Source organism: Homo sapiens, chromosome 8 (genome assembly GCF_000001405.40).
Source record: "Homo sapiens chromosome 8, GRCh38.p14 Primary Assembly".
In the NCBI taxonomy this organism is placed as follows: Eukaryota; Metazoa; Chordata; class Mammalia; order Primates; family Hominidae; genus Homo; species Homo sapiens.
The window spans coordinates 140,595,153-140,611,563 of record NC_000008.11 but is presented as its reverse complement, the minus strand read 5'-3'; the positions used below and the strand labels follow the sequence as shown (position 1 = coordinate 140,611,563).

At 50.0% G+C, this 16,411-nt stretch overlaps 1 protein-coding gene across 6 annotated transcripts in view, besides 6 other annotated features; it reads left to right on the top strand.

Annotated features, from left to right (window-relative positions):
- Nucleotides 1-16,411, top strand: part of AGO2 (argonaute RISC catalytic component 2) — a 122,158-nt gene that overhangs the window by 30,750 nt on the left and 74,997 nt on the right. For 2 of the 6 annotated variants that reach the window (XM_047421695.1, XM_011516965.3), the window contains exon 1: nucleotides 14,556-14,888. The exons of 3 other annotated variants lie outside the window; for them this stretch is intronic. In XM_047421695.1, the coding sequence (XP_047277651.1) occupies nucleotides 14,825-14,888 (64 nt within the window). In that variant the 5' untranslated portion in view covers nucleotides 14,556-14,824. Of the gene's footprint in view, nucleotides 1-5,649; nucleotides 5,768-14,555; nucleotides 14,889-16,411 lie in introns of those variants that run through there. One more of the 6 variants, XM_047421697.1, reaches the window with a different exon arrangement.
- Nucleotides 1,625-2,596: an enhancer, noted in NCBI's record as "H3K27ac-H3K4me1 hESC enhancer chr8:141619067-141620038 (GRCh37/hg19 assembly coordinates)". NCBI's record gives its function as "activates a minimal SCP1, AML or CMV promoter by ChIP-STARR-seq in naive H9 embryonic stem cells {active_cell/tissue: H9 hESC(naive)}" and the evidence as "EXISTENCE:reporter gene assay evidence [ECO:0000049][PMID:30033119]".
- Nucleotides 12,242-12,331: an enhancer, noted in NCBI's record as "active region_28037". NCBI's record gives its function as "activates an Ori minimal core promoter by ATAC-STARR-seq in GM12878 lymphoblastoid cells {active_cell/tissue: GM12878}" and the evidence as "EXISTENCE:reporter gene assay evidence [ECO:0000049][PMID:35858748]".
- Nucleotides 12,342-12,411: an enhancer, noted in NCBI's record as "active region_28036". NCBI's record gives its function as "activates an Ori minimal core promoter by ATAC-STARR-seq in GM12878 lymphoblastoid cells {active_cell/tissue: GM12878}" and the evidence as "EXISTENCE:reporter gene assay evidence [ECO:0000049][PMID:35858748]".
- Nucleotides 13,571-14,073: an enhancer, noted in NCBI's record as "H3K27ac-H3K4me1 hESC enhancer chr8:141607590-141608092 (GRCh37/hg19 assembly coordinates)". NCBI's record gives its function as "activates a minimal SCP1, AML or CMV promoter by ChIP-STARR-seq in naive H9 embryonic stem cells {active_cell/tissue: H9 hESC(naive)}" and the evidence as "EXISTENCE:reporter gene assay evidence [ECO:0000049][PMID:30033119]".
- Nucleotides 13,792-13,841: an enhancer, noted in NCBI's record as "active region_28035". NCBI's record gives its function as "activates an Ori minimal core promoter by ATAC-STARR-seq in GM12878 lymphoblastoid cells {active_cell/tissue: GM12878}" and the evidence as "EXISTENCE:reporter gene assay evidence [ECO:0000049][PMID:35858748]".
- Nucleotides 14,422-14,761: an enhancer, noted in NCBI's record as "active region_28034". NCBI's record gives its function as "activates an Ori minimal core promoter by ATAC-STARR-seq in GM12878 lymphoblastoid cells {active_cell/tissue: GM12878}" and the evidence as "EXISTENCE:reporter gene assay evidence [ECO:0000049][PMID:35858748]".

The following is a 16,411-nucleotide window of genomic DNA, read 5'->3' as shown; positions in this document are numbered from 1 at the left end:
CTGAGGTCAGGAGTTTGAGACCAGCCTGGCCAACATGGTGAAACCTCGTCTCTACTAAAAATACAAAAATTAGCCCGGTGTGGTGGTGGGCGCCTGTAATCCCAGCTACTTGGGAGGCTGAGGGAGGAGAATCGCTTCAACCTGGGAGGCAGAGGTTGCAGTGAATTGAGATCGTGCCACTGTACTCCAGCCTGGGCAACAGAGCGAGTCTCCATATCAAGAAAAAAAAAAAACAAAGGCTTAAGAGTCAATGTGGAATAAACTTGATGCTTTTTGCTGCTTTCTGCAGGAGTTTTAAGGTAGGCTGGCTTCGTCCCCGTGCTGTGCACGTGCTGTGGTGGTGAGTCCAGCGTCTGAGGGTACTGCCTGCCATCGCCGCCTTGCACTGTGCAGATGCACCTGCAGTTTCACCTTAGCCACCGGAGCAAATGTCAGCACAGGGAAAACACAAGCCGCTCTGGCCCTGGGGACCTCCCTGAAGCTCCCCGGACCACACTTAGAGAACCGCTAAGTCAGAAGACTCCTAACTCCTGTTCTGTTTAACTCTCGAATGATCTGCATGCGCGCGTGTCTACTTAATCCCAGAGTGTTTCGGAGAGATGTTCCACTTTAATTAAATTGTATCATGATTTACACACATGTTTGAATAAAACCACCCAAGAAGAGCATCTGATTTGGAATCTAAAATCTCATCTGCATGGAGTGGCCGCCTGGCTGAGTCTGTGAGAGATTTGGGGGACTGTGTGTTTTTTTCAAAGTCTTTGGATGGACTGTTGCTTTGAGCATATGGGGGGGTTGGCCATGGGCAGGACAGGGGCTCCCAACCCCTCTGGTGCAGAGACAGTGGGGCCCAGGGGCCTGTCGCCTTCAGGAACCAGCCTAGGCTGGGCCCGTGTTCTCTTTTGGGCTGTGGGTATGGGAGCCGGGCTCCCTGCTCATGGTGAAAATAGGCCGCTTTCAGGAGCGCTGTCTTCGGAGGGTTGGAATTCTCTTTGTGCTTTTTGTGGAGAAGTTTTTAAGTTATTCCGTTATTAAGAAAGCCTCTGGCCAGGCACGGTGGCCCACGCCTGTAATCCCAGCACTTTGGGAGGCTGAGGTGGGTGGATCACCTGAGGTCAGGAGTTCAATACCAGCCTGGTCAACATGGTGAAACCCCATCTCTACTGAAAATACAAACAATTAGCTGGGCATGGTGGTGGGCACCTGTAATCCCAGCTACTCGGGAGGCTGAGGCAGAAGTGCTTGAGCCCGGGAAGCAGAGGTTGCAGTGAGCCAAGATTGTGTTCCTCCCTTTCCTGATCTCTTGTCTTTGCCGTCTGTCTTTGGTTTTTGGTTTTGGGGGTGTTTGTTTTTGTTTCTTGAGACAGGATCTCGCTCTGTCACCCAGGCTGGAGTGCAGTGGCTGATCATAGCCCACTGCAGCCTCAACATCCCTGGCTCAAGCAATCCTCCTGCCTCAGCCTCTCAAGTAGCTGGGATTACGGGTGTGCACCACCATACCTGGCTTTTCTTTTTTTTTTTTTTTTTTTTTTTTTAGAGTCAAGGTCTTGCTGTATTTCCCAGGCTGGTTTTGAATTCCCAGGCTCAAACCATCATCCTGCCTTGGGCTCCCACCGTGCTGGGATTATAGGTGTGAGCCCCCATGCCTGGTCGATGTAGTCTTTTTCCGTGCCGGGATTACAGGTGTGAGCCCCCGTGCCTGGCCATTGTAGTCTGTCTTTTTCTGTGCCGGGATTACAGGTGTGAGCCCCCGTGCCTGGCTGTTGTAGTCTGTCTTTTGTCTTTTTCCGGGCAGTCATTCAGTTGTTTGTACAGTTGATGTCTTGAGCACCTGCTCTGTGCTGGGCCTTCTTCTAGATGCTGAAGAGAAAGCAGCAACCAAAACAGACCATTCCTGTCCTCAGGGAGCTTATGACTGGGGGGATGGGATGGGCAGACAGACTCAGGAGGAAGTGCAGGGTGTGTGCAGTTGGGGTGTTAGGGAGGCCTCATTGAGATGGCAGATTCCTGAGGGAGTGAGGCCGCAGCTGTAGCAGAGGAAGAATTGATGACGAGGCCGGTGCGGGAGCAGTGCACGGGGTGATGGGCGGGCCGCCGTGCCGACCTGCTGTGGCCACACTCCTACTTGCAGAGTCTCAAGGTTGCCAGCTGTTTAGACCATACAGGCTGACCCCCAAGCGTGGGCTGGAGCCCCTGTGATCTCCGCAGGCCACCCGGCAGGCCACTGCCCGCCCACCGCTCTGCCGGGTGTGATGCCCATCCTAGGTTCCCCGTTTCTGCTCGTGGAAATTCCTTCTTTCCAAGATTGGCTCAAAACGGGTTTCTTATGGAACTTTGCCAAATAGCTGAGGATCCCGCAGTCCTCTCTGCAGCCGCTCAGCACTTGGCTCACGCTGGCTTTTCCTTTCCCTTCTGGTGATGTACACAAGCCCGTGGCCCCCAGGGAAGGGCTGGGAGGCCCTGAGGCGGCATCCTGCTCCCCCGCTGAGGCCCCTGGCACAGCTGAGCCTCCAAGAGATGCTTACCAGATCTGCAGACATTTTTCGGGGTCCCATGGGTGTTAGGCCTGGGGAGGCAGTGACCCACCGGTGGAACTGAGGCAGTGGGTGGGGAGGGCCTGTGGCCTATGTGGGAGGAGCAGGACCTCACCATGGGCCCCTACACAGTTGCAGATTCTTGCAAGGGGTACCCCATCACCCCGCGGGGCTGATTCAGGTATCCAGACATTACCAGGATGCTGTTCTATGACCCTTGCTGCCCTGGAGCAGCTGGAAAGTAATAGGTCTCGCAGGGACACCCCTCACTGCTTTCGTCTGATGCAGGACGTTTAAGGGGTGCTGGATCAGTGGCCCCAAACTGCAGGTGCTTGGCCTGCGCAGTGGAGGTTGGGGAATGGCACTTCCCCGTGGATTGTCCTGGCTGGTGCCCGCCCAGGTGGCATGCGGTGCTGCCAGCCATGACCTTCCCTCAGCCTGGACCTGCTCCGTCCACGGTGTCTGCTCAGGTCCCCGCCCCGGTCCCTGCTTGCTTGACGCCTGCCTGCCGGCTGCGGGCAGCTCAGGGCCCTGAATAGCGCTGGGAGGGGGCATGGGGCCGGCGAAGCAGAGGAGCTGCAGACCTGTCTGTTGGGCTCTCCACGGACAATTGTGGAGAAAACAGTAGAGGGTGACGTGGCTGATGTCCTTGGGACTGTGGTGATTTGCACAGAGAAGGAGACCAGGGAAAGTGGCCACTGCGCTGCCAGAGCTCTGCAGATTTGCTGCCTGCCCTGGGGATGTGACAGGAGACCGGAGCGTGCTGGAGGGGAGAGAAGGCAGAATGGCAGCGTAAAAAGTGCCAAGTGTAACATCCACCTCCGACAGGTTATCTCTGCCTGTCTCATGCTAATGTCTGAAAACAACAGCTTTGGTTTCTCCAGACAGAGCTCACAAGCCCATATCACCACTCTGTGTTTAGGAGTGGCGGTTAAAGATCTAAAGAACCTGTTGTTGCTGAGAATTCATTCATTCAATGTGTTCTTCACCAAAGGCCACAGGGGAAGGTATCAGTTCCTCCAGGGGGAGCATAAAGGAGCTCAGTGCTGAGCAGATTCATTGATTATTGATTAGATCTTCCATATGTTTGTAAAATATGCGGAACAAAACGGACCGGTTTAAAGTACATAACTCAACTGCGTTAAGTCCATCATGATGTTGGGCGCGCATCACTCCATCTAGGTCCAGACGTTTCCATCGCCTGGAACAGAAGCCCTGTGCTCCATGAGCAGCTGCTTCCTATGGCCCCCTCCCACCCCCTGGCAGCCACCACTCTGTGCTCCATCTCCACAGAATGGCCTGTTCTGGATGTTGCATGTTCCTGAGGTTATACATGCGGACTTTTGTGTCTGGCTTCTTTCGCCTAACAATGCTCTAAAGGTTCATCCATGTCATAGCAGGTGCCAGTGCCCCATTCCTTTTCATGGGTGTGTAATATTCCACTGTCCTGATAGAACACATTTTTATCCATTCGTCAGTGACATTTGTTTTTTTCCATACGTGTGTGTGTGTGTATATATATATATATATATATATATATATATATATATATATATATATATATATATATAATTTTTCTTTAAGAGGTGGGGGTGAGACGGGGTCTCACTAGGTTGCCCAGCTGGAGTGCAGAAGCTATTCACAGGTACAGTCATAGCACACTACAGCCTCAAATTCTTGGATTCAGGCAGTCCTCCTGCCTCAGCCTCCTGAGTAGCTGGGACTTCATGTGGACACCATTGCAACTGGCTCATTTTTAAATTATAGAATTTTTTTTTTTTAAATGGAGTTTCACTCTTGTTGCCCAGGTTGGAGTGCAATGACATGATCTCGGGTCACTGCAACCTCCGCCTCCTGGCTTCAAGCGATTCTCCTGCCTCAGCCTCCTGAGTAGCTGCGGTTACAAGCATGCACCACCACGCCCAGCTAATTTCGTATTTTTAGTAGAGACGGGGTTTCTCCATGTTGGTCAGGCTGGTCTCCAACTCCCGACCTCAGGTGATCCACCCACCTCGGCCTCCCAAAGTGCTGAGATTACAGGCGTGAGCCACCATGCCTGGCCTTAAATTATAGAATTTATTATTATTATTATTTTGAGGCAGTCTTGCTCTGTCACCCAGGCTGGAGTACAGTGGTGTGATCTCGGCTCACCACAACCTCCGTCTCCCAGGTTCAAGCAATTCTCCTGTCTCAGCCTCCCAAGGAGCTAGGAATACAGGCACACGCCACCACGACCGGCTAATTTTTGTATTTTTAGTAGAGACGGGGTTTTGCCATGTTGGTCAGGCTGGTCTCCAACTCCTGACCTCGGGTGATCTGCCCACCTCGGCCTCCCAAAGTGTTGGGATTACAGGCATGAGCCACCGCGCCCAGCCAATTATAGAATTTTTAATTTGCTACGCTTCCAAGCCTTGCCAAGATGATAACTTTGTGTGTAACTTTGTCAGAATGTATAGGCTTAGTTTGGCTGTTCTTTTCACATTGTGCTGAAGGCATCAACTTTTGGAGAATGTTTAGTGAGTCCTTAATGCTGTGGAGAGGTTCTTGGAAACTGCGTTTTTAAGCAAAACAAAGTACATCAGGTTCTTGAATAATGTTGTTTTGTTATGATGTTGATTAGGAAAAAAATGGATTTGTTAAACATCATGTCACTTAAACTTGCTGTTTCCAAGAACTGCCAACAGTGTTAAGTGAACTGCATGCTCCTCGCTTGCTCTCGCAGTAGGTGGGGCCTCCATGCTCCTGCCTGCAAGTTCTTCCTGCGCTGGAAATGGGTGGAGGCATCTCCCTGGGTCCCCTCCTTAGGCATCAGAACCTACTTGGTTTCTTCAGACAAATTAAAATGTCATCGATGCCCTGGAAGGATATACTTCAGTGGTATTTCTTGGCATATTTAATTATGGAAAAAATCTTACCTTACTTATAGTAGACCTTTCTAAGTTGCAAATATTTTACTGTGAGCATGATTGATTTATAATTACGAAAAAGCAACTTAGTCTGCATAATTTGTTGATAGCACTGGTCATGTTGAGTATATTTGGAGCCTCGAAGGCATGGAATATTGAGCAGAGTGCGGAAAATAAAGCGGTTTTTGACACCGTGCTTCATTTTGCAGGTACTAACTGACTTGTCCATTTGCTAAGCTTCATCCCACCGGGCAATTTTCCTGCACAGCAGCTGTTACAGTCCCATTCTCACCTGGCCCCTGGGCCAGTTCGGAAGCCTCTGAGCAGGTTTGTAGCTTTCTCCTCCCTTCCTGCAGAGTGCCCTTAATTTAGCTTCATCAGCCACTTGTCATCATTCCTTTTCTTGTCCAAGTTTATAGTCAAGAGCAATGGCTGGGAACTAGAGCTACCCCTGGACCAGCGGGTGGGGTCTTCATCAGCTGGGTCCCAGCATGGCTTCTGACCTACCGCTGGGCACCCCTGCGAGAGCTGCAGACCCTCCCCTAGAAGACAGCAGTGGTGGCCTTGCGCAGCCTCAGACACACCTGGCCTGGTATCCCCGTGCGTCCTCCCTACCCCAGAGCCCTGCACCCCCGTCTGTGTTCAGCCCAGGCTGGGTTATCCCATTTCACTTTGGTCATTCCTTCATTTGCTGATATTTTTTTTAAGCTTTAGAAAATACTTTTAAGGGCGGGTGCATTGGCTCACACCTGTAATCGCGGCACGTTGGGAAGCTGACGCAGGCAGATTGCTTAAGCTCAGGAGTTCAAGTCCAGCCTGGGCAACATGGTGAAACCCTGTCTCTACCGAAAATACAAAAAAATTAGCCGGGCATGGTGGTGCACACCTGTGCTCCTAGCTACTCAGGAGGCTGAGGTGGGAAGATTGCTTGAGCCCGGGAGGCGGAAGTTGCAGGCAGCTGAGATTGTACACTGCATTCCAGCTTCAGTAAGAGAGGAAGACCCCACCTCAAAAAGAAGAAAAAAAACTTGTATTTTTTTTCAAATATGTATGAAAGGAAAGAAAGTCTAACGTATCCGCCATAGCCAGTCTTATTTCCTTACCTGAATATTTTGAAGCAAATCCCACATAGTGCACGTTTATGCAGAGATACTTAAGTGTATGTCTCTGAAAGATGAGGAGTCTTTTAAAAAACTGAATCACAGTTCCATGACCCATGATAAATGGCCATTCCTTGATGGCACCAAATACAGTCACGGGTTTTCCCAGTTGTCTTGAAAATGCCTTTTTTTTTTTTGAGATGGAGTCTCGCTCTGTCGCCCAGGCTGGAGTGCAGTGGCGCGACCTCGGCTCACTGCAAGCTCCACCTCCCAGGTTCACTCCATTCTCCTGCCTCAGCCCCCCATGTAGCTGGGACTACAGGCACCCGCCACCACGCCCGGCTAACTTTTTTGTATTTTTAGTAGAGACGGGGTTTCACCGTGTTGGCCAGTATGGTCTCTATCTCCTGACCTCATGATACACCCATCTCGGCCTCACAAAGTGCTGGAATGACAGGCATGAGCCACCGCACCCGGCCTAATTTTTGTATTTTTAGTAGAGATGAGGTTTCACCATGTTGGCCAGGCTGGTCTTGAACTCCTGACCTCATGATCCACCCATCTCTGCCTCCCAAAGTGCTGGGATTACAGGCGTGAGCCACCGCGCCCAGCCAAAAATGCCTTTTTATTGTTGCTGTGTTTGAATCGGTATTTGTATACACATAATTAGCCGTTAATTTCAACATACCTAAGCATTTTCGCTTATGTAATTTTCAAGTTCTTGAACATGAACTCCCAGCTAGATGAAAGGTGCCACTGAGCAGAGACCAGCGTGGTGCTTCTAACTTTCCGACAGTACACAGCACGCTGCACTCATTCTGATGAGTTTGAGAATATATCTGCTCCATCGCGTCGTTTCCCTGGTGCGCCTCAAGGTCTTGTGGCCTACAGCAGCATTTCGTACTGTGTCTGAGCCTCCGGGGCTGCTGGGGCTGCATGACCCAGAGGGACATCTGGTCAGAGGCCAACTTAGCCTCTCGGCCACCTTGGCTAGGGCCTTTCATGGGCCTGGATGATGGGACCACTCCATGCAGCTCCTTCACCCTGAGGGAGGGGCAGCTCATCCCCGGGAGGCAGGAGTCCCAGCAGAGGGCACAGCAGAAGCAGCTGGCACCTTTGCAAGCCCTGAGGGATGCGGAACAGTCATGCCTGTGCCATTTGCCAGGCAAGGCACATGGCTGATGTGGAGTCTGTGGAAGAGGCCGCACAGTTGCAGGGTGGAGGGTGAAGACACAAGGAGGCCCCCAGCCCAGTCCGCCACAGCAGCGTGGGGCTGGAGCAAGCCCCTCTTGAGGGAGTCTGTTAAATCCGGCCCCAGTGGAGCTCAGACACAGCTGCAGCGCGGATGAGCCTCAAGGACAGCATGCCACATGAGGGGGGCCAGGCACAGAGGGTCACGTGCGTGGCTCCACCTCTGGAAATGTCTAGAACAGGCAGAGCCATTGAGACAGAATGCAGGTGCGTGTGCCAAGGCCTGGGCTTTGGAGGAAACGGGGTGTGATGGCTTAGCGGGCACGTGGCTTCTTTTGGGGGTGACGAAGGTGCCCAGGAATTGGGTGGTTGTGTTGGTTACACAACAGTGTGGATGTGCGAAAGGCCACCTCAGTGTGCACTGGAAAATGGCTACGGTGGTAAATTTATCTGAATTTTAACAAGAAGAAAACAACCTGGCCCTGGATCCCTCCTCCCTTGCACACTTATCATCCCAGCTCCGCAAACACAGCCCGGTGTGGAGGCACCACGCACTCCGCTTTGAGGTGTGTGTTTTTGGCTGACAGACTTCCCGATGAGATCTGGGATTCCATCGTCTGCTGAGCCGGGTCCACAGGGCCAGATTAGACCCCATCTTTAATCTCCGCCACGCCGCCGTGGGGGCCTGAGTCAACCCGCACCATCCGAGGCTCCCACCAATTCTGGGCTGGTCTCTGAAGTTGGGGCCAGCAGCAGGCCTGCCTTTCGGATAGCAAATAATAGAAAGAAATCCATAATTATGTCATATAAAAGATGCGGCCAGAACACTGCACGTGGCACGGCCTGTGATCCAAAATGCGTGCAGGCATCGTCGTTAACTTTTCTTCAGTCCTCTGAGGAAGTAGAATACCATTTCGATTTGTTTTAAACTGTGAGCTCGTCTCTCTTCAGGAAGGAAATTGATCAAAGAAGCAAACACTCCTGGATATTTTGTCTGCTTGATTTTCAGCAATTTACTCCTAATTAATTATTCTGACTAGGAAAAAAATGGTACCTCTCCAGGATGCCAGTGTTTAGAATTGACATTTCAAATAGCTGGTTGGACAAATTGGAGAAATTTTCTGATTTCTGTCATTTGTTAAATTTGCTTTTAAGTATCCCTCAGGGAGCTGTATTCATTCCAAGTGCGGGGAATTAAAGTTGAATCTCCATGCAATTGAATTAGCCTGAGCCACAGGGATGGGCTGCAGAAGCCTGCTGAAGCTTACAGGGAGATTTTACTTAAAGCTAAAGCTTATTTCACGGAGTCTGTTCTGACGGTTTTCTAACGCCACCGTGATGTACAGTTTACTGTTTTATTAACATTGGAACAGTACTTCTTTTCACAATGTACAGTGATTGTAATTTAAGATAAATGTGGGAGTATTCTTATACCTAAGGAAATGCTGAGTCGAAATGCTGGATTTCTAAATATATCACTGGGGAGAGGACAGTTTTTTCCCTTTATAATGACAGTGTTGCCAACATGACCTTATAGCTATGTAGGCTGGGGATATTTTGATATGCAGTAGGAAAATGTCACAGAAGAGATAACATCAATAGAGGCTAAATTTTCCCTTCATGATATTTATTTTTAACATCTATTCTACTCTGTTAAAAAATAAGGACCCTCATGTGTTCATGTGGAAAACATAGTGACTAGGGAGAGAGGGATGTGCTCATTGCGATGGATGAAGTTCTTAAAACAAATACATGCAAACGCAGTGGTTCTTGGAGGAATCCAAGCCCTGTAGAAGCTTATTTTTCCTTCATGTAAATTTCCAGGGCTGTGTGGGCTTAGCTGCTCTGCTCCATGCAGCTATTCAGGGATTCAGGCTGCAGGGCATCTTCAACCCAAAGGGGAAAGACCGTGGAGGAGGAGGCTGTGAGGTTTCTGTGTGCTGGCCCGCCGCTGACCTGCCTATCACGTAAACCCACCAAAGCAGGGTGCCTTAACCTAGGGGTAGAAAATATTTGGGGGGAGAAAAGCAATAAAAAATATTCTAAAATTTTAAAGTACAGTATAATAACTATTTACATAGTGTTTGTTTTAGGTATTATAAGTAATCTAGAGCTGATACAAGGTAGATAGGAGGATGTGTTCAGGTTCTAGGCAAACACCAAGAGATGACTCTAGCTGGCAGACACATGCTCTGTTGCTCCAGAAAAAGAAGCAACCAGGCTGGGGCAGACAGCCCAGACTGCCATGGTTGCGGAGCAAAGGGAAAATCAGAACCTACCTGGAGACCATTCACCATATGGTTCACATCCATCAGCCTAGCACTTGCCAGGCATGATTCTAAGCCCTGGGGTAGACCAGGGGGGCAGAAACAGAGACATTTCTCTTTGGGGTGTGCCTAGTGCAGGGAGTACTGGAGATGTAGTGTGCCAGGTGGCAAGCGCTGTTGAGGCGAGCACAGCGGCGGGGGGGTGCTGGGGCTGCTGGGGGCATGCACCGTTTTTAACAAGCCAGTCAGCAGTCTCTAAGGAGGTGACATTGAACAAAGACCTGAAGGAGGTGAGTGGGTGAGCAAACCGCAGGGATTTGAGGAAAGAGTAGACAGGAAGTGCAAAGGCCCTGGGGCAGGAGCGCATTGGGTGCCTTGTGGCCGGACAGCCTCGGAACCCGTGGGAACCTGGCTGTCTCCAGGTGCAGATGAGATGCCACTGGGGAACTTGAGAGTGGAGGGATGACCCAGTCGCCCTTCCTGGTATCTCTGGCTGCTGTGTGGACACAGGGGGCCCTGGTAGGCACTGTGAAGTGATCCAGCTGGGAGAAGATGATGGCTGTGGCCTGCACACAAATGGTGGAGGTGAAGTGGACAGATTTAGACACAATTCGAATTCGGGTTTTTTTTTTTTGAGACGGAGCCTCACTCTGTTGCCCAGGCTGGTGTGCAGTGGTGTGATCTCGGCTCACTGCAACCTCCACCTCCCCGTCAATCCTACGGGGTCTTGGTGACCCACTCACTGGGGTTTGAAGGAGGCAGAGCAGAGAGAGGGGACATAGGACGGACGTGGCGCCAGCAGACATGGAGGCCTCTTTCCAGAAGGATGTAATTCTCCTCCGAATGGGAAAACAGAGAGCGTGTTTTGGATTTTTTTTTTTTTTTGACACGGAGTTTCGCTCTTGTTGCCCAGACTGGAGTGCAGTGGTGCAATCTCGGCTCACTGCAACCACTGCCTCCCAGGTTCAAGCAATTCTCCTGCCTCAGCCTCCCAAGTAGCTGGGATTACAGGCATGCGCCACCACGCCCGGCTAATTTTGTATTTGTAGTAGAGATGGTGTTTCTCCATGTTGGTCAGGCTGGTCTCGAACTCCCGACCTCAGGTGATCTGCCCGCCTCGGCTTCCCAAAATGCTGGGATTACAGGCGTGAGCCACCGCGCCCGGCCTGTGTTTTGGATCTGTAGACCCCATGACGCTGACTCCTCCGTGTGCTGCAGGAGTCTGAACAGAGGCCACAGTTAACACAAGGCTGGGAAGCAGAGGCCTCGCCAAGTGCAGGAGTAATTAAAGGACACATCTTTCGAGTAGACTTCATACATGTCCCACTTTTGTGCCTTACAGCTTTTGTTGTTTGTAAATGACATCTTTGTAAAAAATAACTTTTCTAATCGTTGCTCACACATAGGAATGCATTGTGGTTCAGCAAGCTGGCTGGATTCTTTCTGGCTCTAACAGTGTGCCTGCCAAGGCGTCTCATCTTCACAGAGGCTGTCACGTCGTCTGCATGTGTCTTTGTGTCCATTTGCCTTTTAAATCATGAGAGGGCAGGGCACAGTGGCTCATGCCTGTAATCCCAGCACTTTGGGAGGCTGAGAGATCCAGATCACTTGAGGTCAGGATTTCAAGACCAGCTTGGCCAACACGGTGAAACCCCATCTCTGCGAAAAATACAAAAATCAGCCAGGTGTGATGGTGGGTGCCTGTAATCCCAGCTATTCTGGAGGCCGAGGCAGGAGGATCGCTTGAACCCGGAAGGCAGAGGTTGCAGTGAGCCGAGATTGCGCCCCTGTACTCTAGCCTGGGGACAGACTGAGAACCTTGTCTCGGGGAAAAACAAACAAAAAAATCGTGAGAGGGTCTTGATTTCCAGACAGGTGAAGAGATGTAGATCATATAAGGGTTGTCTGCACATCAGGCACCTCATTTAGAGAGATGGCTTTGAGCACCCCGGGTGAGCGTGTGAAATTTCTCACTTAGGTGATGGCCTGGACCCCATAGGTAGTGTAAATTCAAAACGCAAACCTGGGAGTGTCGGACCTGGAGCTGCAGGTTTTAGGGGGTTGGGGGCATTCACAGGCCCTCCTGCTTTTCTTCTTTCAGCTCTGACTGCTCTTGGGCAGGCTTCGTCTTCATCATCACAAAAGACGTTGAACCCTTGGAATCCAACAGACTTTGTTTCAGATTCCAGCACGCGTTTTTCTGCTGTGGCCTGAGTGGTTACTTTGGCTTCCCCCGTCTCATGTATGAAACGAGCCGGTGATAATCCTGGTCACAGGATTTTGCGTTCTGGTTAAGAAACCACAGCGACGCCACCACATAACGGACGCTCAGCGCACATCTCTTTTAGATGCTGGCCTGTCAGTGGGATGGCAGAAACTATTCAGATGTGGTGACGATTCTGCTTTGGGGACTGCTTCCCAAGCGGGTGCATCCTGCCGGATTTTAACACTGCTGGGCATTGTGAGTGGTGGCAAGATGAGGAGGCCAACCCTGTAGTCACTGGGCTCCAGGTCTGCCTGTGAGCTGCGGAGGGCAGGGTAGAGTGGCCTCAGCGTGAGCAGCAGGATGGGAGCCTCGAGGGAGAGCTGGGTTTGGAGAAAGTGGCCTCTGTTGTCGCGTTTCTGTCATTGAGCAGATTGAGCAAAAGCAGAGGCAGGAAAACGCATGGGGAGGCTGGTGGTGCGAGCCCACGGTAGCCATGAGTCCTGCAAGGAGGTGTCTGGGTTTGGGCCCTGAAAACTTTGGAGAAGAGGTGGGTCTGCTGTACAATTGTCTTGTGCCATTTAAGGTAATTCTGCCCTGTTGGGGCAGGTGTAGCTCCAGTTTTCAGAGGAGGAAACGGGGTTGGGGAGTGGCAGGCAGAGGAAGCAGCAGGCCAGAGTCCCAGAGCAGATGGAGAGCAGCCAGCACGCGCTTCCTCCTGGTGGGGCTCAGACAGGGCTTGGCACCAGGGCTGTCGGGCAAGCGGGAGGAAGAGCTGCGGCTCCGGGGTGCGGTGCTGCCGCGCAGAGTGGACCGGTGATCCTACGGCACCGTGGGCTTGTACGCACAGGGAAATGGAGGCACTCCCAGAGGAGCTGAGTGTCAGGCCTGGCACAGGTTGGAGAAGAGCTAGGCATTCTCCTGGTAAAACCGTAGGAAAGATGGCTGCGAAGCAGGAGAGATGCAAACTCTCTCTGGGTAGAAATGTCAGCAGCATTTGGTTTTCCTCAAGTAACGGAACGCAAACGTCTGCTTCCTGTTGAGTCCTGCTGCCTTTGCCGAAGAGAATTCTTTTTGGTGCTGTGGCTTTAGAACACCTGGATAAAGCCCTGGAAGTTGTTCTCCAGCACAGAACACGCCGTCTCGGGGTTCAGACATCTTCCCATACGGGTCGTGGACGCTCTTGTGGGTGTCTGTTTCCTGACCCCGAGGTCGGCAGTGGCTGAGCTGCTGTGTGGGACCCCAGTCCCTCTTGCTGTCCTGCCTCATCTCCTCCTTTCTCACCCTCCTGGGTTAGATCTTGTACAATAGTAAGCTCAGTGTTCGACCTGGCACCTAGAAAGGAGAGCTGTGCGCCCTACAGCCCAGCATGGGGCCCCGCCAAGCATCTGCTGGCACTGGCACTGGCATCTACTGTGAGGCCCCTGGTGGGCAGGGTCATCTCTTGGTCCTCCCAGGTGGCAGATGACGCAACAGCCCGGTGATGAGTGGAACAGGCGTGTGCGTTTCAGCAGATGAGCAGGAGATGTTGATGGATTTTGCTGCCTCGCTGATAAAAATAGACATTTATTCTTTTCAAGACAGGCAGAAAGGCTAAGATGTGTTATAACCCTGTGGGACGGAACTCAGATGGCAGTTTTTCATTTTTGATGTCTTTTTTTTTTTTCTTGATTCCTTTTCTCTTAAAATTAGGCCTCAGAAGCTAATCCTGTAGATCAGGCTGAAGCTGACAGGAGTGAGGCTGAAGCTGACAGGAGTGAGCCTGAGATTTCTGAATGCTCATTTATTTCTCCTTCCATCCTCAAGATTCAGGCTTGAAGCCAGGAGGCCATCCCCCAGGAAAGGGCCCCTCACTCAGGCAGGGAGGCCTGGGGCGGGGGGGGGGGGGTGGGGGGGCCACCCAGCCCCCATCGGTGTCCGTGGCTGCTGCCAGAAACGGAGTCAGAGAAAGTAATGTCAGCCAGACTTCAACTCCAGCTGGGTGTGAGCACCTTATGCCACCGCTGCCCACGCTGCCCTGCATCCGTGCTGCGCTGCGTTGGCACTGGAGAGGCTGGGAGGCTCTGGGAATTGGAATCCCTGGCTGTGCTTGCCGGAAAGGGTGTATGTAAATGAGGCGGTTTTCCTGCCACCTCTGCAGATGATTCAGCCCAGCAAGTGTGAAGAGGGAGGGAACGTCCCTGCCAGAGCTGGGACACAGTGCAGGGGCGTGGTTATAAATGAACGAAACAGCTCTTCTGCTGAGTTTTTTTTTCTTCTATACAGTTCCTCTGTGAGTTCCCTTTAACCATGACGTAAAACCCATTTTGTGGCTTTAGTCTTCTATTTCAAACAACATGTTCACCAGCAACGGTGCAGAACAGTGGGACGCACTCTGGGGCCAGGGTGCCTGTCTGCACCTTGGCTGGCTGGCACCCTCAGGCAGGTCCCCCTGGGCTGGTGGGCACCAGGGGAGTTCTCCCGGACAGGGTTGTGTCTCGCAGGATGAGACAGCGGTCACGACGACACAGCAGCCATGCGATGACGTGGGCCCGTCCCCCACCCCGGCCACTTGCCTCTCCCCTGCTGCTCCACCGACTCCTCCCAGCCTGCAGGTGACCCGGACGTGCTGCCTCACCTGTAGATGCCACTTTGTTCATCTGTGAGACTACGCTGGGAAAATGGGCTCACTGCAGATCTTGCATTGGGTACTTTTTAAATCTCTCTGGGCATCTGTTAAATGGCATAATGACTATCTGTGCTTACATCTTAAGCTTCTATTTTGCTTTTTTGTTTGTTTGAGATGGAGTTTTGCTCTTGTTGCCCAGGCTGGAGTGCAATGGTGCCATCTCAGCTCACTGCAACCTCCGCCTCCAGGGTTCAGGTGATTATCCCATCTCAGCCTCCCGAGTAGCTGGAATTACAGGCATGCGCCACCGTGCCCGGCTAATTTTGTATTTTTAGTAGAGACGGGGTTTCACCATGTTGGTCAGGCTGGTCTCGAACTCCCGACCTCAGATGGTCTACCCGCCTTGGCCTCCCAAAATGCTGGGATTACAGGGCATGAGCCACCACACCCAGCCAGCTTCTGTTTTCTTTAACTTAGGGATATATCAGAGAAAAATAGAATGATGTATCCAATATTCATCCTTCTCCCAGAGTTTGTTCATTTTTTAAAAATAATTTAGTTTTAAATAACAAATATAATAAACCTACTTAAAAAATACAGAAGCACAGGCCATGTGCAGTGGCTCACGCTGTAATCCCAACACTTTGGGAGGCCGAGGCAGGAGGATCGCTTGAACCCAAGAGTTTGAGACCAGTCTGGACAACACAGGAGGGCTCCATCTCTATAATATGTGTGTATGTGTGTGTGTGTATATATATATAATATATATATTATATAATATATATAATTTATATATATTATATATAAAATATATATTATATAATTTATATACATAATATATATTATATAATACATAATATATATAATTATATATTATATAATATACAATTGTATATAATATAAATATAATATATACAATTGTATATAATATAAATATAATATATACAATTGTATATAATATAATTGTATATACAATTGTATATAATATAATTGTATATACAATTATATATAATATATAACATTTACATATTATATAATATAATATTTATATATAATTATATATATTTTATATGCCAGGCTATATATATAATATATATAGCCTGGCATATAAATAATATATATATAATATATATATATATTATATATATAGCCTGGCATGATGGCACACGCCTGTAGTCCCAGCTATTTGGGAGGCTGGGACAGGAGGATCACTTGAGCCCTATGATCGCACCACTGCACTTCAGCTTCGGCAACAGAGTGAGATTCTGTCTCATAAGATAAAATAATAAATAAAATAAGATATAAAACGAATAAATAGAAGCATAGAGAAGAGTGGAAAGACTATAGCTTGACCACTCAGGAATAATCACGATAAATATTTTGTTTTATAATTCTTCCTTAAGTTTTCCCTTTCATACCCCAAATGTGTATGTGTGCATAATATAGGACAGATGGGATTGCATCAAACACCATTCTGAAGCTTTTTCCCACTTACAAGTACATGGAGCTCTTGCCGTGTGATCAATGGAGAAGCAGTGTCACTGAACTGTCCTCACAGTTCATTTAACCCATTTTCTCCTGATGGACCTTTCAGTCCTTCTC